Source organism: Homo sapiens, chromosome Y (assembly GCF_000001405.40).
Source record: "Homo sapiens chromosome Y, GRCh38.p14 Primary Assembly".
Taxonomy (NCBI): Eukaryota; Metazoa; Chordata; class Mammalia; order Primates; family Hominidae; genus Homo; species Homo sapiens.
Window position 1 is genome coordinate 20,569,338 of NC_000024.10, and position 25,079 is coordinate 20,594,416.

General features: G+C 37.3%; 1 protein-coding gene, 1 long non-coding RNA gene and 1 pseudogene across 15 annotated transcripts in view; 1 reads left to right on the top strand and 2 right to left on the bottom strand.

Annotated features, from left to right (window-relative positions):
- The window catches only part of TTTY10 (testis expressed transcript, Y-linked 10), a 110,070-nt gene extending 103,892 nt beyond the window's left edge, over window positions 1-6,178 (bottom strand). For all 13 annotated transcript variants that reach the window (NR_197936.1, NR_197939.1, NR_197940.1 and 10 more), the window contains exon 1: window positions 5,769-6,178. This is a non-coding gene — a long non-coding RNA (testis expressed transcript, Y-linked 10). The remainder of the gene's footprint in view (window positions 1-5,768) is intronic.
- KDM5DP1 (lysine demethylase 5D pseudogene 1) lies at window positions 353-1,227 on the bottom strand (annotated as a pseudogene).
- A 260-nt stretch (window positions 6,179-6,438) lies between the features above and the next one.
- EIF1AY (eukaryotic translation initiation factor 1A Y-linked) lies at window positions 6,439-23,817 on the top strand. Of its 2 annotated transcripts, NM_004681.4 has the most exons (7): window positions 6,439-6,550; window positions 10,271-10,354; window positions 13,253-13,356; window positions 15,137-15,187; window positions 18,687-18,768; window positions 20,147-20,238; window positions 23,004-23,817. In NM_004681.4, exons 1-7 carry the CDS (start codon window positions 6,535-6,537, stop codon window positions 23,007-23,009), a joined length of 435 nt encoding a protein of 144 aa, NP_004672.2. In that variant the 5' UTR covers window positions 6,439-6,534; the 3' UTR covers window positions 23,010-23,817. The 2 variants fall into 2 exon arrangements, with proteins under 2 accessions (NP_004672.2, NP_001265541.1); NM_001278612.2 differs by lacking the exon at window positions 15,137-15,187.
- Window positions 23,818-25,079: the final 1,262 nt, after the last annotated feature.

Here is a 25,079-nt window from a genome sequence, read left to right on the forward strand (position 1 = left end):
ATGAAGACTTTGTTATTTGGCAAAAGGGGACAGACATAAATCAAGAAGCAACACAACAAATAACGGAGATATTGACTACAGAAGTCCAGCCAACAGATTTTTAACAAAAAACACAAAGCAATTAAGTGTAGCACAGATAACTTTTCTATTGCTGGTGCTGGATCAGTAAGCTGTCCATTGAGAAAACCTTAACTTTGGTCTGAGTCTGACATGTTTTGTAAATAAAACTGATTTTTCTCTACTCTTCCTTCCCAAAATTGTTAAAAACTACATTGACCATGCTACTGTCGTAGTGTTTCCTAACCTCAGTTCTTCACTCTTACATTCCAAGAAGTGCAAATGATATCCATAGTCTCAAAACACACATATTTTATTTTTAATAAAAAGAATTGAGTTAAAAATAGACAATAGGTAAGTCACTAATTTCTCTTTTTACTCTATTATTTTTGGCCTCAACATATAATTAAATTATACATTGCTTTTTCCTACAATGAGAACAAAGGGGAGAAAAAAATAGAATGAAGGTCGAGTATTGAAGCACTAAAATATTTTAAAGATACAGAGACAAAATAGTGGAGTCCAGAAACACAGGGGAAAAAATTAATAAAGTAAAGGTATATACTTGGTCTTTCTCAAAATTTATTTGTTCCTATTCAGAATAGAATGAAACTAATTTAGGAAATTACTCCCATAAGCAAGCAGGAATGCTACTGGCAAGAGATTTCTCGGCATCAGGGCATAGACTTTAAGAACCGAGCTTTATTCAAAAACCACTAAGAATTAGTATATAAAAAAATTGGAAGTGAAAAATTCTAGATAGGAAAGAAGCTTTTTCTGAGGTCCTGACCAGGGATTTAAGAAGACAAAAAATATTGCTGCTGTCAAAATTCTTGCTGAGGAGAGCAGGAGAGTTGTAGAAAAGGCATCATTGAAGGAAGACAAGCAGCTGAGGAGCCTGAATCCTTGTGTTACTATTCTTCCCTTCAAAGATATGGATGTGGTCTGTGAGGAGTGTTAGGAATGTATTTTTATGGTTTGCTTTCTCCCCAGAATGTTCTGTTTATTGCCCTTCCTCTGACATTATTCCTGAGCTCTTGGCATTTTTTTAACGTACCTCTTCTTGAACAAGATTCACACCCTCTTTACCCTGACCCAGCTTCTGCCACCACCGTCACCTCTCCAGGGGATGGTCTCTTGCCGAGCCCTTTAATGTTCGGGATTCTCCAGTATAATCATTTACAAACAAGCAGAAATAGACTGTTGACCAGTGGTCAGTCTTACCTCAATTTAAAATGTACAAGTTTTAGGCTAGGTGCAGTGGCTCACACCTGTAATCCCAGCACTTTGGGAGGCCAAGGTGGGTGGATCATCTGAGGTCAGGAGTTCGAGCCCAGCCTGGTCAACATGGTGAAACCCCATCTCTACTTAAAAAAATACAAAAATTAGCCAGGCGTGGTGGTGACAACTGTAATCCCAGCTACTCAGGAGGCTGAGCCAGGAGAATCACTTGTACCTGGGAGGTGGAGTTTGCAGTGAGCCGAGATGACACCACTGCACTCCAGCCTGGGCAACAAGATTAGAGTGAAACTCTGTCTCAAAACAAACAAACAAACAAACAAAAAACAAACAAATATACAAGTTTTATTTGGTCTCAGCTTCCATGTGTTTTGGGATCTTTCTGCTTCCTTAAATTTTTATGTTGATTACGTGGCTGTGCACAGGTTGGCCTATATCAGTTTGGTCTGGTCTACTGGGGCCTAGTTCTCAAGATCACTCTAAAACTATGTCTCTCATAATTTTGTTTAATAATCCCCATCTTTGATTATATTGTCAACTAGGTAAGAGTGTGTCAAAACAGTGACATATTTGTTAGTATGTCATTTCATTTGAAGAGGACTATTTGACATATTACAGATGCTGCATGCAAACATTTAAAAGTTTTGAGAGAAGCCAGGCAGACTGTTTTATGGTGAATAAGGTCTTGTTATTGGAAGAACAAAAAGATTTTAAATAATCTTCTTTTGTCTTATATTCAAAGGACTTTTAGTATGTTCATGTCCTCATGAACAAAACCAAATGAAACTTTAAGGTAAAATAATGATCCAAATGAGATGACTCATACTAACCAAGCAGCTTGTCAGTTAGTCTACTGTAATTGCCTTTGCAAAATAACCAATGTATTTTTCTATGGCCAAAAAGCAGTCTCAGTACTGATAAGCACTTACATAAGCATAGCTCGCTCTGCTCTCTTTTGATTATTGTTTGCTTGGAATAGATTTTTTTAATCCCTTTACTCAAATATTTTGTGTGTCCGTAAGTATAACGTGAGGCTTTTATGCAGCACATTGTTAAATATTGGGAGCATTTTTAATCACCTTTTTTTTACACTGTCATTTTACTGGATAATTTAATTTATGAACATTTAAAACATTTAAACAGCACAGGAGAAACTGCCCCCATGAGCCAATCACCTTCCATCTGGTCCCTTCCTCAAAACGTGGGGATTACAATTTGAGATGCCATTTAGGGGGGAAGAGAGCCAAACTATATTGTTTCACCCCTAGTTCCTCCCAACTCTCATGTCTTTTTCACATTTCAAAACCAGTAATGCCTTCCCAATAGTACCCCAAAGTCTGAACTCATTTTGGCATTAATTCAGAAGTCCAAATCTAAAGTCTCATCTGAGAAAGGGGAAGTTCCTTTCGCCTATGAGCCTGGAAAATTAAAGCAAGTTAGTTACTTCTAAAATATAATGGTAATACAGGCATTGGGTAAATGTTACCATTTCAAATGGAAGAAATAGGCCAAAGCAAAGGGGCCACAAGCGCTATGCAAGTACAAAACATGGCCAGGCAGTCATTAATCTTAAAGCTCCAAAACCTCATTTGACTCCGTATCTTACATCCAGGGGATACCGATGCAAGGTGTGAGCTCCCACAGCTCTGTCCCTGGGGCTTTGTAAGGTACACCCCCTGTGGCTACTTTCATAGACAGGTGTTGAGTGCCTGCAGCTTTTCCAGACACATGATGCAAGCTGCCTGAGGATCTACCATTCTGGGGTTTGGAGGATGGTGGTCCTTTTCTCATAGCTCCACTAGGCAGGGTCCAGTGGGAACTCTGTGTGGGACTTCCAATCCCACATTTCCCTTCCACACTGCCCTAGCAGAGGTTATCCCTGGGTGCTTCACCCTGAACAGACTTCTGCCTGGACTTCCAGGCATTTCCATATATCTCTGAAATTTAGGCAGAAGTTCCCAAGGTTCAACTCTTGTCTTCTGTGCATCCATAGGCCTAATACCATTGGCCTAACTGCCAAGGCTTGGGGCTTGCACCCTCTGAAGCAAAGACCCAAGCTGTACTTTGGCCCCTTTGGGCCACAGCTGAGGCTGGAGAGGCTGGAATGAAGGGTGCCAAGTCCCAAAGCTGCACAGGGCAGCACGACTCTGTGCCCAGCCCAAAAAACTATTTTTCTTCCTAGGCCTCTGGGCCTGTGATGAGAAGAGCTCCCTTGAAGATCTCTGACATGCCCTAGAGTAATTTTCCCCATTGTCATAGCTATTAACATTAAGCTCCTCATTAGTTATACGAATTTCTGCAGTCAGCTTTAATTTCTCTCCAGAAAATGCTGGGTTTTTTCGTCTTTTCTATCACATGGTCAGGCTGCAAATTTTCCTAACATTTATGGTCTGTTTCCCTTCTAAACATAAGTTCCAATTTCAAATCATATCTCTCAAATTCAAAGTTCCATAGGGCAGGAGCAAACTACCACCATTTGCTGTGCTAAAGCACAGCATGTGTTTCCTTTACTCCAGTTCCCAAGAAGTTCCTCATTTCCATCTGATACCATCTCAGCCTAGACTTCATTCTCCATGTCACTACCAGTATTTTGGTTAAAAAATTCAAGTCTTTAGAAAGTGCCAAAATTTCCCACATAATCCTGTCTTCTTCTAGGCCCTTCAAACTGTTCCAACCTCCCCCCATTACCCAGTTCCAAAGTTGATTCCACATTTTCAGGTTTTCCACAATACCCCATTCCTGGTACCAATTCTCTGTATTAGTCTGTTATCACACTACTCCAAAAATACAACCTGAGACTCGGTAATTCATTAAGAAAGGATGTTTAATTGACTCACAGTTCTGCATGGTTGGGGAGGATTCAGGAAACTTAAAATCACTGTAGAAGGTGAAGGGGAAGAAAGACACATCTTATATGGAGGCAGGAAGCTGAGAGAGTGAAACTGCAGAACATTTTTAAAACCATCAGCTGTTGTGAGAACTCCCTCACTATCATCAGAACAGCATGGGGGTAACTGACATCATAATCCAATAGCTTTGCATCAGGTCCCTCCCTTAACACATGGGGATTATAATTCCAGATGAGATTTGGATGGAGACACAAAGCCAAAGCATATCAACAACACAGCAGTATTTATCTAATGGACCTAGGAACTATCTCTTTGAAACGTAAACATAAAGAGAGAAGGTGCCCCTCTGTTTCCAGTTTCAGTAAAAGGTAAGAACTTAACCTCAGTAGGTGCTTTTCTCTGAACTGCAAAACAACCTCTTGAGATTAAAAATATGAGAAGTCAGTTTCTCTTCTGATTAAAGACAATTAGCTATATAACATGTGGTCCCCTGTTACCATTGTAAACTAAGGGTATGTGACAAATGGTGCCGTTAAATTTTCTTTATTAAAGACTACTGATCAACCAGTAATTTCTTTTAAGAAAATTTGTCTATCTTGAAGACTACCTTGATGCTTAGCTATATAAAAGGCGAGATTTGTTTTTGACTTTGTAATCTCTTGGTTGATTTTCTACAATGTACATTAAATTCATATTTCATATTTTTAACAGTAAAACTGATTTCATTCTCTACTGTCTTTGTGGAGAGGACTTCTGGGTTCAGAGAAAATTTTATTTTTAATGTTATGGCTTCATCACTAGGCTTTTAAAAACAAAACCATGAAGACTTAAATTCCTTAAAACCAGTAGTGATGATCAGGGTACTACCACTTACCTTGCAGAAAAAAAGAAAGAAAAAAAAAGGATTAGGAGGATACTACACTATGTATATGATGGCCAATTATATGCCCAACAAGTAAGATAATTTAGAATAAATGAACAAAGTCCTGATACATACATACTATTTACCTTGCAGAAAGGGAAAAAAAAGGATTAGGAAGATACTATACTTTGTATATGATGGCCAATTATACGCCCAACAAGTTTTATAATTTAGAATAAATGAACAAATTTCTGGTACATACAAACTACCAGAACTGACTTGGGAATAAATACAGCACGAATTCATAATCCAAACTAAGGCCTAGGACCATTTAAAAAATTTACATCAATCCTCGAATGTGTCCAAAAACACAGAAGAAAAAGGGACACTACACAGTTCATTCTGTGAAGCCGGGATTATATTGATCCTAAAGTCAAAGTCATCACACGATACAAGCCAATATATCTTAACACAGATGCTAAGATTCTAAACATAATAGTACACACACAACAAATCCAGTAAATTAAATGATTGTATACCATAATCAAATGGAATTTGTCTTGAAATAATTTGACCTCCACAGCCAGTCCATTTGAGACATTCGGTTAAGCCATGATTTATTATAAGATTCAGATGCTTAGTCTCACTCCTTCCTATGTATATTTACTTTCCATTTCCTGTATATATTTACTGTCTACTTTTTGTCAGTATTCCGCTGGGTGCTAGCAATTGTAAGCAACAGATGCGGCCTCTGTACTTACATGCTTTACTGTGAGGTGGTGAGGTAGAGAAGATAAGACTGAAAAAAATAGGCCGGGCGCGGTGGCTCACTACTGCAATCCCAGGAATTTGGGCGGCAGAGGCGGGAGGATCACTAGGTCAGGGGTTTGAGAGCCTGGCCAACATGGTGAAACCCCATCTCTACTAAAAATACAAAAATTAGACGGGCAGATCGCGCCCCTGCACTCCAGCATGGGCAACAAGAGCGAAACTTCGTTGTCAAAAAAAAAAAAAAAAAAGAGAGAAAAGTGATAAACATTCTGAACATAGAGGGCCTTGTCCTAAGCCAGTCCTCCAAATTCACTGTATAAGAGTAAGGGCTCTCTTAAAATTTAGGCGTTTACAGTTAAATGACCCACGAACTTCTGAAACTGGAAGACCGTTTTTTAGCAAAGGAGAATACTCCAGGGCCCCGCCCATTTCATCCTTGACTCCACCTTCTCCATGCTGAGTCCCGCCCCGCTTCCTGTTTATTCATCCTGCAGCAAACTCTCCGGTATCCTGATGGAGTCTACTAGGTGTCAGTCATTTGGCCGTGCCTCAGCCGAAGAGAGGCGGGGAAAAGCATCGTAATCAGCTGCGTCGCCTTTTGGTGACGCCAGAGAGTGCGCGTCAGCAGTTTATTAGAGAGCTCTGTAGCCAGCCTCTTCTGCGCACCCACCTGCTGCATCTTAGTTCAGTCGGCTCTTAGAGTAGTAACCGCCAGAAAGGAGTCGGAAGAGGTCTCACGAGGCTGTCATCACCGCCATGCCCAAGAATAAAGGTACTGCTGTAAGCCTCTGGGACTATACCTCGGCTTGCTCTGCCAGTAACCCCGACGCCTGTTCCAGGCCGCAGTGACTGTTCTAACGGCGGTACTGGCCACTGCGACCCCAGCACTGTGTTCGGGAAAGGAGCTGGGAATGCCCTATTTGGTCACATTGGGGTGGGACAGACGCCATTTTTGTGGGGCCTCCTTCGGAAGATAGCGGGCTTTTGCTGCTGATTTCACGCCAGACGGAAAACGTATAGGTAGGGACGGTTGAGGGACCTTAACCGGACGGCCTGGCTTTCCAGAATAGGCACATGCAAACACTTCCCTGCTACTTTCCTGGAAGCGGTTCTTAACTTTGAAGACTTACCTATCTGGACAGTTAAAAGTATTGCTAAGGATACTCCCTTTTCCTTGTTAAACAGTGGGGAAGCCTTGAAGCATGTTTAGGTTCATTTCTGGCGTTTTACTCTACCCCATCCCTTTATAGAGTGTAACATTCTTTTGCAGAAGATTTGTTACCTATTTAGGCAGGTTTTCAACTTCCGTATCCGATAAATATTGTGGGAGTAAAGATATCAACGTTCCCTTCATTCTGAGGCTAAACTTTCACACGAAACTTAGACTTGAAAATAAGTTTACTCACAGCTTCTAAAGTAGGAGGTCTAACCTCGGTAGAACCCTTTCTCAGTCATTTCTGAAAGAAATTCTCGTTTTTATACACCTGAGGTAATCTCTCACTTTTAGTGCCCTTGTAATTGCTTGAAGAAAACTGTAGGTGGAAACAAAATATTATTTTCCACAGGAGGGGACCATGTTTTATAGTCCACAAAAACTCTGTTTAGATTATTCCTTCCTGGGACCCAGACCAATTTGTCTTCTTTTTACTTGCCTGTTGGCAGCATGGAATCTGTTTCATTTTCTCTTTTTAGCTGTCACGACACACAGCTCTTGAGGTACTTGGTGACAGTACAGTGCAGTCTTTCCTGGGCATTACTCTTTGCTCTCCCGAAAACCCACTAACGGGTTGTGTGTATAATAAGGTTTTATTTTATTTTATTTTATTTTTTACTGCAAAATTATTGGAGGATAAAGTGTATTCTGGGAGAAGTCTAATTAGAAAGAGTTAGCAAAGGCTTATGCTTTTTCACTAACATTTTCTCAGATGGTACTGAACAACTTCAGTAGGTATCTTGTTCTCACCTTTATTTCTAGTGATGAGATTCCCAGTTCTCTAAGCCATCAGCTCTAAAGATCAGAGTATCTCCCTTTGCAAAATGTCCATTAAATCTTTGCTGATGTTATTATCCCTGTACCTGACTCTATCCTTAAATAGTAAGGCTTCCTTTATTCTTGTAGGGTAGAACTTTTAAACTGAGTGATGCCTAAAAATGTTCTCAATAAAGAGAGTATCTCCAAAACACGTCGGATTTGTTTAAAGAGGAAGTGTGGATTTTTTGATCTTAGAAAGGAAACGAGATAAAATATTAAACGACTTTAATTTTTGTATGATCATGCCTAGCCTCATTCCTCTAAAATATAATTTAAAGTGGATTCTGTTACATGGTATCACAATAGAAGGGGAATGATCAGGGTTTGGTTAATCCTGGTAAATTGAAAACAATTTTTTTTTTATCATATGTGCCTCAGAAGGCACACAAAAGAAGTATAGTGGCCGGGCGCGGTGGCTCACGCGTGTAATCCCAGCACCTTGGAGGCCAAGGCGGGTGGATCACGGGGTCAGGAGATCGTGACCATCCAGGCTAACATGGTGAAACCCCCTCTCTACTAAAAATACAAAAAAAATTAGCCGGCCGTGGGGAGGCTGAGGCAGGAGAATGGCGTGAACCCGGGAGGCGGAGCTTGCAGTGAGCCCAGACCGCGCCACTGCACTCCAGCCTAGGCGACTGAGCAAGACTACGTCCAGCCTAGGCGACTGAGCAAGACTACGTCTCAAAAAAAAAAAAAAAAAAAAAAAAGAAGTATAGTAATACAGTGAACTCCTAGAAATCCATACCTCTAGGAATTATAACCTAGATTCATTAAAGTCCTCTGTTACCCTTCCCAAATTTATTTTTCTTAAGATAATACCCATCCTGAATTGAATGTTTTTATTGTTGTGTAAAATTAGTGTTATCTTCTGGGCTACTTACTTGAGGGATACTTTTGAAGACCCCTAAATATTATGAGATGAGACTTACTAATGTAGAAATAAAACTTGCTCATTTGGTTTTCTGTGTCTTTTTTGTTGTTGTTTTTTTCGTTTGAAAATCCAGATGCCTGTCAGTATTGTCGTGGTGAGGTTTATCCAAATAAACATGTAAATGAGCATGGGCCATATGTGGAATTACTTTTTCTTTGCATGCATTAAGCTGGTATTCTACAAAAATCTTAGAAACCCATCCTCACATCAGGAAAAGGGCATCCTTTGGCCTATACTTGTGAAGAGCTAGAGTAAGGTGCTCCCCACCTTTGAGATTGCTAAAGTTGTCATTCTTTTGGAAATTTATGAGCTAATCATCATTTAGTCATTTGAAAAGCTGCCAAACTTTTGTAAAACCCAGTAAGGAAAGCAGGTATGATCTTTGTCCTGACGCAGCTAAGTTCAGGCACGATTAATTGCTCGAAATATAGAATGTGTTTTCCTTTGTAGAAATTTAGTTTTGGCATGCCCTAAAATGCATCAGAATCTGGATAAATCACAGAGTTCTGGAAGCCCAATTGTCTTCTATAGTGGCACAGAACAATGTGAGACTGCCCCAGAGGTAGTGGGTGAATTCAAGAAGTTAGATGTCTGGCTTTATGGTGGCCAGGTATATGTTTTATTCTATTTGCAGTGTTAACATTTTTATTCAAATTCTTCAATCGATCCCTTAATATTACTGTAATTTGTAGCCTTTCTCCCTCCTTTTGGAAACGGCCGCTACTTTGGTTTACGTTCTCTAATGGGGATACAATGTTATGGAGAAGTACCCCAGTCCCTTGATAATTCAATAGAAAATATCACAAGGAAATACTCTGGATGTGTTTAGTAATAAGCAAAAACTTAAAAATAGAGTGAAACATGATGGCAGTTGAAACAGTTATCAAAAGTCTAAGGAAGTGTGTATGTAAACTTTAAACTAGAAATTATATTTCTATTCATTTATCTTGTGAAATTTGTTTGTAGAATAATATTCAATGCAGCATTATATAATAAAATTAAAACATTGGAAGAAATTAAATTATTAAGTATACTTTAACCATTAAAATGTTGGTCCAGATCTGCAGTTATTGAAATGAAAATGAATATTCAGGACAAATTATTTAGTGTAGTTAAAATATGCTGTAGAAGAAAATGAATGAAGTCCTGTTTTTATTTGGAAAGCGTGAACAAAATATTCATAATAGTTATCTTTGGGTGATAAAATGTTTCTATTATATAGTTTCATATAAGATGTATTCTTATTTCAGAAGTATCCAAACAAATGTCCAAGAAGGATAGTATTGATATATATCGGGTAAAAGACTTAAAGAGAACCTTTGACAGGTCCTGTTAATGAGGTAATATTAATGTTGTAATGTAAATAAATTTAAACACATTTATTATGTGTTTAAATGATATATTTTTAATTTTCCTGCAAGTGGTTTCAAAAACACACTTCAAAAGCCTTATTTTGTTTTATAGTTTAGTTTATATGATATTATGTAGATTTTTACATTAATTTTTTATCTACTCTTTTAATTAATTAGGTAAAGGAGGTAAAAACAGGCGCAGGGGTAAAAATGAGAATGAATCTGAAAAAAGAGAGTTGGTGTTTAAAGAGGATGGACAAGGTAAGACTTTTCAACTTAGGCTTCTTTCATTAATATGTTTTGTTGTTGCTGTTAATATAAATTTCAGTCTTTCTCCTAAAGGAATCTTAATCATTATCCTGAGCCGTTGTCCCTGTGTTTCCATTTCTCTTTTCCTCATTTCTCATCATCTACATTTCTCCTGTACTTGTTCATTAAATAATGATTCCTTGGATATACCAAGTCTGGATAGCGGATTCGATGGAAGCATTTTTGTAAATATACGTTCAGTATTTTGTGTGGAAGAACACAATCTAGCTGATGCCTGCAATCCCAGCCCTTTGGAAAGCGAGGTGGGTGGATTGCTTGAAGCTACGAGTTTGACACTAGCCTGGGCAACAGGGTACAACCGTGTCTCTACAAAAAAAAAAAAAAAAATTAATGGGGCATGGTGTTACACAACTGGAGTCCCAAGTTCTCTGGAGGATGAGGGGAGAGGATAATTTGAACCCAGGAGGTCTAATCTACAGGGAACTGTGAGGGTGCCACTGTATTCAGCCTGGGTGACAGAGCAAGACCCTGTCTCAAAAAAATACAAAAGTTCAGAGCAAATTAAGCATAGACTGTGATCATTAAATATTCCATACATTGGTAATGAGTAATGTTGTACACTATTAGACCATGGTTATTTATGAGGATAAAACCTCAAAACCTTTTTGAACCACAAGTTCTTCAATGCAGCTAGCACATAATCATAAAATGTAATACAATTCTAATAATTGACTAACCCCTTGAATTGATAAACGATGTACAGACTAACATACAAAAAAAAAATAAAGTAAATTTATTGGGCCACTTGCTTTTTTTCTTCTTTTTTTTCTTTAAGTGATGAACTTAAGAAAAATTTGTGATATTAGTACACAAAAAAGTTGCATGTATTCTTCACCTAGATTCACCAATTTTTAACCTTTTACATCTTTTACTTTATTTCTATCTCTGAGTATCTGCATGTATACACGTTTTTCTAACTATTTTGAATTTTTATACAGATAACTAGTAACATGAATTTACAGACTTTAGCGCTAAATACTTCAGCATATGTCTCCCAAGATGAAGCACTTCTCCTTTACTAACTACAAACAACATATTTAACTTTAATGTAATACTGTTATCTGCTTTATACCATGCTGTTACAAATAGGTAACCACTAACCGCATGTGACTATGTAGATTAATTTAACTTACAATTTAGATATGTAATAGTTCCATCACAGGCAAGTTTTCCTGAAGAGTGCTAACCTCATAGGTAATCTATATTCAAATTTCTTCACGTTTAATTATTTTCACCATGAATACATTTATTGTTTAATAATTTATAAGAACAGCTAGGTATGTTTCTATAGAATTTTTGGTTGTCATTTATGTTCTAAACAGAAGCCACTAAAAAATCAACATCTTTTAATTATATGAAACATATTTTCTGGCAAAAGACGTTTATTTAGCCTTCATCTTTTTCACTTCTAATATATGTTGACTTTACTTTCAGGACCAGTTTTTTAATTTTCATTCTCATTTTGTTTTTATTTTTCTCCATGTTTCAAAAGTGCTTAATGATAAGCTGAGCTCACTGGATTTTTGTAAAATGGATCAGTTGCCACATATATAACCCCTCAATGTAGCTTTTTTTTGTTTGTTTTTTTTGAGGCGGAGTCTGGCTTTGTTGGCCAGGTTGGAGTGCAGTGGCATGATCTCGGCTCAGGGCAATGTCCGTCTCCTGGACTCAAGCAGTTCTCCTGCCTCAGCCTCCCCAGTAGCTGGGATTAGAGGTGTGTGACACCATGCCCGGCTAATTTTTGTATTTTTAGTAGAGATGGGGTTTCACCATGTTGGCCAGGCTGGTCTCGAACTCCTGACCTCAGGTAATGCACCCGCCTCGGCCTCCCAAAGTGGTGGGATTATAGGCGTGAGTAACCATGCCTGGCCTTTCACTCTTATTTTCTAAGAACTTTAGAATAATCACCGAGATATTCTAAAGTAAACAGGAATTTTTAATGGTTAAGCTATTATTTGTCTTTGTCATTTCTGAGTTTAGGGATAGTGAAGATAGAGTTAGGCCTCATGTGTGAGAGACTGATGTAGCATTATAGTGTATATTTTGAAATGTGCCACCGTGATGTTCAAAAGTAGAGTGTACAGTCGTGAAAACAACAGTTGACTTAATCAAAATGAGTGGGTAATTAAAATGCCTCTAGTAACAGAAATAGCTTGTCATGGAAATGGCATTTGTAACCCTGAACAAGTTACTTGACTTAGTCTTTTATTTATTCTAAATATAAACGTGTTAAAGCATATGAGCATAGCTGGAAGAGGTGAAGAAGTTGACAGATAAAGAATTCTCTGGTTTCCCTAAATAAAGTTAGAATATGTGTCATTTTGAAATATGACTCTGAATAAATTACTCAAGCTTTTTGCTATTTGTTTTTTCCTGTTTTTCTTTGTAAGTAGTTTGATCTAATTTAGCAGTAAATGAAGCTTTTATTAACAGGTAAATTTCTTTTTTTGTTGTTGTTATTGTTGTTGTTGTTGAGTTTTGATCTTGACATCCAGGGTGGCGTGCAGTGGTGCTATCTCAGCTCCCTGCAACCTCTGCCTCCCGAGTTCAAGCCATTCTCCTGCCTCAGCCTCCTGAGTAGCTGGGATTACAGGCATCGGGCACCACACCCAGCTAATTTTTCTATCTTTAGAAGAGACAAGGTTTCACCATTCTGGGCAGGCTGGTCTCAAACTCCTGACCTCAGGCAATTCACCTGCCTTGGCCTCCCAAATTGCTAGAATTACAGGCATGAGCCACCATGCCTGGCCCAATAGCTAAATTTCAGTCATTACATTTTAACAAATGTGGACCAAGATCTCAACCTTTTTTTTTATCTCCTCTCCTCAGAGTATGCTCAGGTAATCAAAATGTTGGGAAATGGACGATTGGAAGCATTGTGTTTTGATGGTGTAAAGAGGTTATGCCATATCAGAGGGAAATTGAGAAAAAAGGTAGGTGTGTAGGTTACTTTTCAATAAAAATTTGCCGCAAAAAATGTCTCTGCTTTAAATACATGGTCCAAGCAATTTATTTTTGTGAGTTCCCAAAATAATTTATACAGCAATGATTCATGTGACAATGTGAATAAATAGAAAAAGTCTTTGATAACTTTTAGATTTACTTTTAAAGAATAATTTGTTTGTTTAACTTCTGTTGTATTCCTACCAGAAATGTTTACTCTGATATTAGTATTGAAGAAACCAGACAAATCTAATATATAACACAAATGGTCTTGACTCAGATGTTAATGCTGTGAAAGAATGAAAAATCTGGGAATTACTTTAGCTTAAAAGAGATTGATCGGTGCATATCCCTTTGTTAGGTTTTGGATTGGGGGAAATAGTTTTAGGTGGTACTAGGAAAATTGGAATATGGAATATGTTAGAAACTCTATTTGTTAGTAATACCACATCAGGTAGTTTTATAAATTACACTGATTAAAAGTCTCTACTACTCAGATTTTTAATTAAAATAATAAAAACTTATTTTTGGCTGAGCTCTGTGGAAGTATTAGCCAGCATACACCTGTAGTCCCAGCTACTGAGGAGGCTGAGCCAGGAGTTCAAGGTTCCCATGAGCTAAAAATTGTGCTAATGCTCTCCAGTCTGGGTGATAGAGCGAATCTCTATCTCAAAAAGAAAAAAAAAAAAATCTTTCTGGTATGTTAACATTCTTTCTTTTCCAAATTAGTGGCATTTTAGGGATTCTCTTAGTCCATTTGGGCTGTCACTGACTGGGTAGATTATAAAAAGCAGAAATTTTATTTCTCATAGTTTTGGAGAAAGAGAAATCTATTTAATATTTGGTGAGGACCCATTTCCTGATTATTATGTGGTGCCTTCTGGCTTAGTCCACACATAGTGGAAGGGATGAATAAGCTGCCTTGGGCCTCTTCTTTAAAAGCAAAAATCCCATTCATGAGCGATCAGCTGTCATCACGTAATCACCTCCCAAAGGCCCAACCTCCTAGTACCATCACCTTGGGGATCCAAATTTCAATATAAATCTTTTGAGGAACACAAACATTAAGACAAGAACAGGTGCTGTATTTATGTAGATTGGGTGCTTTATAGTCATTTTGTGTAGATACATCTTCTGTATTTGGGACAATTATATGTCTCTCAATTTCTGAGACAAAGGATCATCTGACATTTTAAACTCTTGAGTAATTGAAATAAAATTGCTGTATATTTTTTAACATTCTAAATAAGAAAATTTTAAGAAACTCAACTGGGTACTATAGTTTTTTCATGCCATACCTTAACTATGTACTACATACAACTATACTACAGATATATATATTTCAGGGTTTTTTTCTAATTTATTTTTATTTTTTGAGGCAGGGTCTCACGCTGTTGTGTAGGCTGGAGTACAGTGGCACAATCACGACTCACTGCAGCCTTCACCTCAAGCAGTCCTCCCGCCTCAGCCTCCTAAAGTAGTTGGCAGGCACATGCCACTACACCCAATTTTTTTTTTTTTAACTGTTTGTACAGTCTAGGCCTCTCTGCGTTGCCTAGGATGGTCTCAAGCTCCTGTGCTCAGGTCATCCCTGTGGCTTAGCCTCCCGGAGTGCTGTGATTATAGGCATGAGACACCTCTCCCGGCATCTAATTAATTTTTTTTTTCACACTTGGTGAATAGTATACCTGTCTTGTGGGAAGATTCACTAAACATTCTTTTTATTATTTGTTTTTATTTTTAAAATAATCTGCAGTAAATTTCTTACAGGTTTGGATAAATACATCAGACATTATATTGGTTGGTCTACGGGACTATCAGGTAAAAATAACATTTAAAGTTGTGGTATGTCTGTGTTTAAGCAGTTGTTAATGTTTGGAAGGTAACTATACTAGCATCTTTGACCCATTCCAGCCCAGGTTGCTTTCTCACCATTCTGCCTGCCATCATCATTTATTAAGGGCCAGTTGTATTTCAGACTATAGTATTTTTCAAATTTGACATAATTCTCACTGATAGTAAATGGTACATATATTTTTGTGGAAAGACATAAAGTTTTTAATTCTTTGTTTTCATTGTTAATATAATGTGCAGTAAATATTTTCTTGCAGGCTTGGGCAAGTACTGTAGACCATCTGTCCTCATCCATTTAAAGGCCAATGGTGTTTCAGGCATTCAGCTAGGTATTTCAGACATTGTAGTTCCCAAATGCCGGTCTGTTAAATAGTATTGGTGCAGGCTGAATTTTCAGTGCTCTGAAGTCAAATTAGAAGATACATAGTTACGATGTTTTTCATGGAGCACAATTGTTTGCTTACCTTTTTAAATATATATTTTAATAACTTTTTTAAATGAGAAAGTGTATAAGGTAGTAATTTTTATTAGTGTTCTAATTTGGCAAAGCAAAATTGAATAATCTGGAGACTCATTTACCTAATATTATTTTTAACATTATTTTAATATTTTGAAATTTAAAGTTCTTGAAATCCAAATCTGGGAAACCACAAGTCTAGTTGATGCAGCTGAATAAGTCTGTTCTCCTCTAAAAGTTTTATAGTTTGGTAGTGTAAAGTTAAGGCATACATACCAAGTAGTTAATGGTACAAAATGTTGTAAAGTACATGCTATAAAGTGAGCGGTATATAACAAAGACAGTAGTAGCTGTTTAATCTCCAACCTTCATACTATTTACATGTTGTAGGTCTGTAAAATACATTTGATTTCTACTCATGGAATTCATCACCATTGTTTAACCACATTGAGAAACTACTGCTATGTCTATATTTTTATTCTCTTGATATTAGGTGAAGTTTTCTGTAGTCATCTGTCAAGTCTAAGTTGGTTTGTAATGTTCAAGTCTTCTGTTGATCTTTTGTCTGATTGTTCTTTTCATTACTATAAGTGGCATATTGAAGTTACTTTACTTTTCATCTTGAGAATTTCTACTTTTTAAATTACTTCAGTGTCTTTATTGACTTTTTCTGTTTAGTGAAATACCATTTTCATAATTTCCTTAATATTTTTAGACATTATTTCTTTTTAAGTCTTAGATAAACTAAGTCCAACTTCTGGGATTCCTCAGGAATAGTATTTTTTTTTTCCCTGTGTTTGAGCCACTTTTTTAAATCTTTTTTTTTTTTTTAAACCGAACAATTTAACTACAACATAGCAGTTCTGGAAATCAGATTGCTGCCTCTCGGGGCTGTTGTTGATACTGCTTGTTTGGTGACTTTTCTGAACTAATTCTTTGGCCATTGAATAGTTGGTTAGTTTAGTGGGCAGTTCATGTTTGAACTAAGATTTCATTAAAACCACCAAGAATTTAATCATTTAAAGAGGAATCTTGTACATGTAGAGGAATACTTTGAGCATTCAGCCAATGTTGGTAAACTGACACCTCTTCCTTAGTCTTCATTTCTTGCTGTGCAGGATCTCAAGTTCAGTCAGGGGTAATATTAGGGCTTTCCTATGTCTTTCTTTATCATGTGCACTACTCTGAACGTATATTTGGCCTGTTAGATTTGTAGAAGTATGTTGGACTTTACAGATTTCCTATGGATATCTCATTCCAGAGCTTTTGCGAGTTTTTTGGTTTATTTTTTGTCTCAACTGTTACTACCACTTAAGGCATGTTAAAAAATTGCCACAGATTATTTTTTCTACAAAAGCCCTGTGGGGTAAACCACAGTGATTAAGCTCTGAATCAAGTGAGTTAAAGAAAAGTTCTTAAAATGGAAGTTTCCGGGAACTGCCAGGAAATTCTCTATAGAATGGTGTTATCAAAGAACTTCGGACTTGGTCTGTGCTTTTCAGTAGCTGCTATTGTGTTGGTTTTTATTAAACTGAGGTAAGGAATGGGAATAGGGGAACTTAAAAGCCCACACTGCTTTTTCTTAGTAAGGTTCACCTATTTTTCGTGAATAAACGCTCCTTAGTGTTTATTGCATTCATTTGGTTAATTTTCAGATTTCTGATATATGGATTTTGACCATGTTTGTCAATGTTCTTATTTCTTTTCTGAAGGAACAAATTTTAGCAAGTCCTTATTCTGCCATTCCTGCAATCACTGCAAGAAAGCATTTATTTTGATAAGACTTAATTACACATTGACTTTGTTTCTTTTTCATATATCAAATAAAAAGTTGTACTGTGCTTTTAAAATGTTATTTTTATGTCCATTATATTATTCGAATTATCATTTTAACAAAAACTGGTTTGCACATTACAGTTTGAAAAGTGTTGGTCTATTTCATACTGCCATTGTGACAGATCACTTTAGTTTACATCTTACTTATATTGTAAATTGTAAGCAATCAGAACCCCTCCTCACCCCAAGTTGGATAAAATACTTTCAAATGGGGAACTGTGAACATCTGAGGAAAGTGATTCTTAGTGTTGGCATTAGAAACACCCACCCAGAAGAACTTTTAAAAATATGCATTCATGTACTACACCCCAGGCAGGTCTACTTTCAATCTTAAGGAAGTAGGTATGTATTTTTAAAATCAAGCTATTTTTCAAGTTCCATAGACAATTCTGTTAGATAATCTATACTAAGAACTACTGATGCATAGAAAAGTTTATTATTGTTGTTTTTGTTTTTTTGAAGGAGTTTCGCTCTGTTGCCCAGGCTGGAGTGCAGTGGCTTGATCTCGGCTCACTGCAAGCTGCGCCTCCTGGGTTCATGCCATTCTCCTGCCTCAGCCTCCTGAGTAGCTGGGACTACAGATGCCTGCCACCACGCCCAGCTAATTTTTTGTATTTTTAGTAGAGATGGGGTTTCATCATGTTAGCCAGTATGGTCTCGATCTCCTGACCTCATGATCCGCCCGCCTTGGCCTCCCAAAGTGCTGGGATTACAGGCGCGAGCCACCGTGCCTGGCCTAGAAAAGTGTATTACCTTTTTAACATCATTATTCTTTACTCCATTTTTAGTTTTGAATTGCAGTGTTTGACCTTAAAAGTTTTATATTACAATTTTTTTAATTAGTCTTTTATTTTTTCCAAGAGACTTCTAATTAAAAGGGAATAGTAAATAAAAGCACTGTGCTTGCCTTTTGTGCTTTTATTAAAGTGAAATCTCTACAATCTTTCCTAAGCTGTTAATCACTGTTTACTAATGAACATAAACCACTTCCTAATTATTCAGACTCAAGAATTTTTTTCTAGAGGGTATTGGGGTAGGCAAAGAAAAGCAGGAGAGTTTGTAACAAACAGTATGTGGGATTTTTTTAGATGTGTTCAATTTGAAAGTAACTTGTGAAACAACTGGTGATATTTTGGTATAAGACGTTTTGAAAGTTATTTGTTTATTTCTAAGGATAACAAAGCTGATGTAATTTTAAAGTACAATGCAGATGAAGCTAGAAGCCTGAAGGCATATGGCGAGCTTCCAGAACATGGTAAGATCAAAATGATTTTATCTCCTCATTATTTGATATTAATGTTTGTTGGTATTTAGGTGAAGGTATTTCCGTAGAACTCTTGTTTTACATACTGTTTTAGTGTATACTTAAAAATTTGTTATAAGTAGTCTTGCCTATACTTCAGTTTACTTATGATACTTTGGAAAAGATATTAATAACTGGAAATCTCTAATAAAAACGTTATGAACTTGAAAGTAGAAGTCTCTAATAAAGAGATTATGAATTATGAAAGTTCCTTTAGTGACAACTTTATAAATTCATAAGCTCTGGATTTGTATATAAGATCTGTCAAAGAAATACGTTTTTTATAGTGTTTTTCTAAACAGTTCTCAAGACTGGCAGTTTTCATTTAAGCAGAGGCAACAAATGTAATACTAATGTTTGATTATTATAGAAAAAAGTATTCATCTTAGCAAAGTTTTAACTATGGGATTATTTTTAACAAACAATTGTGTTTTCTTTTTCTTAAAGACAAACACAATGCATACTTACTGCCGAAAGCTTGACAAGATTAAAATAAGTCCCTCATGACACCATCAAAGAGAATATGCACTGTTGTAAAGCCTGAGTATTTTACTTGGCAGCTATTTTCATTATTTATCATATTGCATTTTATGAAAAGATTTTTATATAAACATGAAGATCTTGATGAAATTATTGGCATTTCAGGAAGTGCTGAAATGTTATTGGAAGTGATGAAATTATTGGCATTTCAGGAAGTGCTGAAAGTTTCGCTTTCATTACTTGGGGATAAGCATGATCATGATTTAACCAAGTATTTCTCACTGATTTGATAAGTCTGTTTAAATAATTGGTTAACTAGTTGTTGTAATTTCAAGAGAACTTTATGTATTTTGAGGATAAGTTGTTAACCTGTGCTCAAATCCTTTTTGAAGGCTACATGGAAATGGTTGGCTATTGAGTTAGCATAATCAGTCTGCCTACCATACTTAAAGTACCTTTTGTATATGTGCTAAGTGAGAATTAAAAATACCTTTTAAAAACAAATGAAAAATACAGCACAATACAGCACATTCGTTCTTTGTTTTTTGAAACAGAGTCTTGCTCTGTCACCCAGGCAGGAGTGCAGTGGCACCATCTCAGCTCCCTGCATTCTACGCCTGCCAAGTTCAAGCTATTTTCCTGCCTCACCCTCTGCACCCTCTGAGACTACAGACATTTGCCACCATACCTGGTTAATTTTTTATTTTTTTATTTTTAGTAGAGACCAGATTTCACCATGTTGGCTAGGCTGGTCTCGAACTCCTGATCTCAAGTGATCTGCCTACCATGGCCTCCCAAATTGGTGGGACTACAGGTTATATAATCAGTATGTCTGTTATTTTACCTTTAGCTAAAATCAATGAAACAGACACATTTGGTCCTGGAGATGATGATGAAATCCAGTTTGACGATATTGGAGATGATGATGAAGACATTGATGATGTAAGTAAATAAACCTAACAGGTATTTTGTTTTATCTATGCATTATCTATAAACTTTACAGTCCTTTGGGATAGTATTTACTGCAAAAATCAATTTTAGCTTCGGCAGTAGGCACTTCATAATCAACGTTAAGTAAGAGTGTCTAAAGAGATAGTTTTGAGAACACGTCCTCTATTAAGAGAAATGCTTAGTATGTTAAAAGAAGAATTTTGTTTGAACCAGTTTGATGCAGCACTGAAATTACAACATACTTCAAAGGTTTGTTAAAATGAAGGGCCTGTTGCCAGGACATGTAATAGAATTACATGGTTGAGCATCAGTTTGTACTGGCCAGACTCTTGTTTTGGAGTTAGTTTGTGCTTATTTTGTGGAAATGATTGTTTTTCCTAGTAACAAAGCAGCGCAGTTCACAAAGCAGTAAATGCTTCAGCTCTCTTTTTCAGTTAACTATATTGAAATTAAATTCACTTTGATTTTTCTTCCCTCTCTTGAGAGAGAGAGAGGGAGAGGGGGAGAGAGAGAGAGAGAGAGAGAGAGTGTGTGTGTGTGTGTGTGTGTGTGTTTATTGGATATGGAATTTGTTGGTATAGCTTAGACTTCATTTGGGCTTAGGTTTTTTTGTCAATATCCCTATAATAAAATTGTTGTTCAGGAACCACCTGTATATACACACCCAAAAGTTATGATTAACTAGGTACTGAGAAGAAATTATAGAATACCTAAAGCAGTCATTCTTGATGTAATCTGTGCAATTTACCAGAGCTTTTAAAAATTATAAAGTCCAGCGGGCGTGGTGGCTCACCCCTGTAATCCCAGCACTTTGGGAGATGCGGGCAGATCATGAGGTCAGGAGTTCGAGAACAGCCTAACCAACATGGTGAAACCCCATCTCTGCTAAAAATATAAAAATTAGCCAGGCATGGTAGTGCACACCTGTAGTCCCAGCTACTCAGGAGGCTGAGGCAGGATAATCACTTGGACCCAGGAGACAGAGGTTGCAGTGAACCGAGATTGCACCACTGCACTCCAGCCTGGGCAATAGAGCGAGACTCCATCTCAAAAAAAAAAAAAAAATTACAAAGGCTAAACTTTGGAAAGTCTAAGACAGACATAGGTGATGGTCACACACTCCATTGAGAACCATTGTTCTACATCAGGGTTCTCTACAGCTTTTGTTTTACCAACATGTTTATTAAGATTGTTTCCAGACTGTTCAGAGGAGTAGAAGGATTTTTAAATTTATTTGTAAACATTCAAATACTCACCAACAATATTGTACAATTTACAGTTTTTCTCTGCTTCATCTATCACACCCATCCTTCTATTCATCTGATATTACACCTTATATTTTGGCACATTTCCAAACTATTACTTACACTTTGAGTTGAAGAAAATAAACTGAGTCCTTAATTGTATTGTATATATGCATTTATAAATTTTTACAACATAAAGTACTCTATATTTACAAAATTTTTTAGTTTTTTTTTCTTTGGAATTGTTTCTGAGTAGTACTTAGTAACACTACTCTAATGTAATATAAATTTTAAAGTATACCCAAAAAGAAAATGAAAAGAGATGAAAAATGCATTGTTCTTGTGATCCCAGGAAATCTGAGACAGGTCTCAGTTAATTTACAAAGTTGATTTTGCCAAAGTTGAGGACGCACCCATGACACAGCCTCGGGAAGCCCTGAGGACATGTACCCAAGGTGTTTGGGGCACAGCTTGGTTTACTACATCTTCAGGGAGACATGAGACATCAATCAATATATGTGAAAAGAACGTTGGTTCAGTTTGGAAAGGGAGGGCATCTTGTTAGCCTTTCTAAAGGAGGCAGTCAGCTATGCATCTAACTCAATGAGCGAAAGGATAACTTTTGAATAGAATGGGAGGCCGGTTTGTCTTAAGCAGTTTCCACCTTGAGTTTTTCATAGTAATTTTGGGGGCCAAAGATATTTTCGTTTCACATTCTAATATTTTCTTCATGTACCTCCCTTTGGGGACCCTGAGCCAGAGGTTTTTTGGGGGATTAAACAGAATTGGCATTTACTTCATGTTGCAATAACCAAAAGCATAAATATTTTGTTGTAGATTAAGGGCAAATCTGAACATTTCCACAGTTGGTGGCCTTGGAGGCCTCTTTGGAAAATTCAGAGAACCTATCCAGACTACCTAGTGGAACACAAAGCTACAAACACAGATGTTAGAATAAGGATCTAGACATGGCTAAGATTTTTCTCAGGGAGTGGGGGGGAGTATCTTAGAGTTATGCCATTTCCTTTGGAACTAGGCCCATTAAGGTAACGGGAAGGAATGTAAAGACAATGGCTATTAAAGGAAGTTTAGTTTCTTTTGAGTTTCTTTTGCTTATTACAAGAGAACACTGTAGATTTATAGATGTTCTAGTTTTACTTCTGTGACTACATGGACTCAGAATTTGGTTACGACCATATTTATCCCATTTTTAAAGGAATTACATCTATTTTGTCTGTGTCCACCCTCAGAATATAAGATCTGTAACCACTACCACAAAAGGAAGTAAGGACATGCAAAACTTCAAAAATGTTCTGATATATGATATACAATAACATTCCAAAAGAGCATAAAGATTTACTGATAACAAAAAGGAAATAAGAAAATCTAATATACAGAATACTCAGTTCAAAACGATTTACTTCACAGTTTACCACTGGGAGTCTTTATATGCAGTAGAATGTTGTAATAAGAGTTATTTTTCTATGGATCTGATGTTCTTTTCAATTACAGATCTAAATTGAACCAAGTGTTTTTACATGACAAGTTCTCTGAGGATGGTTCTACAGTTGGGATTTTGGCCATCATCAACCAAGAAGAGAAATTCATTTAGTGTGTAGTTTCTGAAAGCAAACTGATTTATTTTCATTGTTTTAAAGTATTTATTTCTTTAAAAGCTGAGGACACTGAATTACCTTAAGTTAAATGTTAATACTTTATTGTTTTGATGTAATGGAACTTAAGGATAAAAGACCATAATATTTGCTGTTAAAATAAATAAACGAGTGCCTTTCCTACTGTGATAACGTCAAGTAATTGGATATTTTGAATACATTTCTGCCTGATAATCATGCTGGGTTCTAATAAGCCCTACTTCCACCTAATCTGTTTACAGTCTTTTGGTATGTTTCAGTTACTTAGATGGTCTCATAAGGTTTCTGATACAATTTGAAGACAGAAATCTGCATTTAGAATCAGAAAACATGGACATATTTTTCATATTTATCTAGTCATATGTAATTTTATGCTAACATTGATAGTTTATAAATCCTTTTCATCCTTTGTGCCTCGGTTATTAAGGAAAAAAAAATGTCCAACATACAGTTTTTAAAGTGTGGCAGTTTTGAGTAGTAACTTAGAATGTATAAGATTAAGAGTTAAAGAAACCGAACAATAAGTGGCAACCAATTATCTTAACATTGGAAATACTGGGGTGCCATTTTGTTTTCAAAAGTTATTCATTGTAATCCACTGTTTTGGCTTTCATGAACAAGTAAATTACAGTGTATAAATGAAAAGCAATTTCATAATAAATTCTATAAACTGAGCCATTCTCAGACTGTCTCTAAACTGCCATAGGAGGAAGCAACCGTACTGAATGGAAAGATAGTTTCAGCCTAGGTGCAGTGGCTCACACCTGTAATCCCAGCACTGTGGGAGGCCTGTGGGGGCAGATCACCTGAGTTCAGGCATTCAAGACCAGCCTGACCAACATGGCAAAACCTCATCTCTACTAAAAATACAAAAATTAGTGGGGCATGGTAGTGCACCCCTGTATTCCCAGCTACTCAGGAGCCTAAGGCAGGACAATCGCTTAAACCTGGGAGGCAGAGGTTGCAATGAACCGAGATCTCATCACTGCACTCCAGCCTGGGCGACAGAGTGGGACTCAGTCTCCAAAAAAAAGAAAAAAAAAAAAAAGGTCGTTTCAGTTACCTGAATGGAAGAGCCACAACAAGTAATGTAATAAAAAAAAGAGCCATGTGTAGCGGGGGGCAGTGGCTCAGGCCTGTAATCCCAGCACTTTGGGAGGCCGAGGCGCGTGGATCACGAGGTCAGGAGATTGAGACCATCCTGGCTAACACGGTGAAACCCATCTCTACTAAAAATACAAAAACTTAGCCAGGCGTGGTGGCGGGTGCCCCCAGCTACTCGGGAGGCTGAGGCAGGAGAATGGCATGAACCCGGGAGGTAGAGCTTACAGTGAGCCAAGATCGTGCTACTGCACTGTAGCCTGGACAACAGAGCGAGACTCCGTCTTGAAAAAAAAGAGCCATGTTCAGTATATTTTTGGCCTAACTTTATGTTGTTACTGCATTTCATTGTGCGTACCGATTTATTTATTTATTATTTTTTGAGTCGGAGTCTTGCTCTGTTACCCAGGCTGGAGTGCAGTGCAGTGACCCAATCTCGGCTCACTGCAAGCTCCGCGTCCCGAGTTCACGCCATTCTCCTGCATCAGCCTCCCCAGTAGCTGGGACTACAGGCGCCCGCCACCATGCCCGGCTAATTTTTTTGTGTGTTTTTAGTAGAGACGGGGTTTCACCTTGTTAGCCAGGATGGTCTCGATCTCCTGACCTCGTGATCCACCCGCCTCGGCCTCCCAAAATGCTGGCATTACAGGCATGAGCCACCGCGCCTCCCATTCCCTTCCCTCCCCTCCCCTTCCCGTGCCCGGCCGATTTTTTTTTTTGGATACATGCTAGTAAGAATTTATATCATAATCTTCCCTTTTAAAGTTTTGTTCTGAAAGTTATAAGGTGAATATAAAGGCTGGACTTGTTAAGAGTTTACTGGGTACTGTTAAAT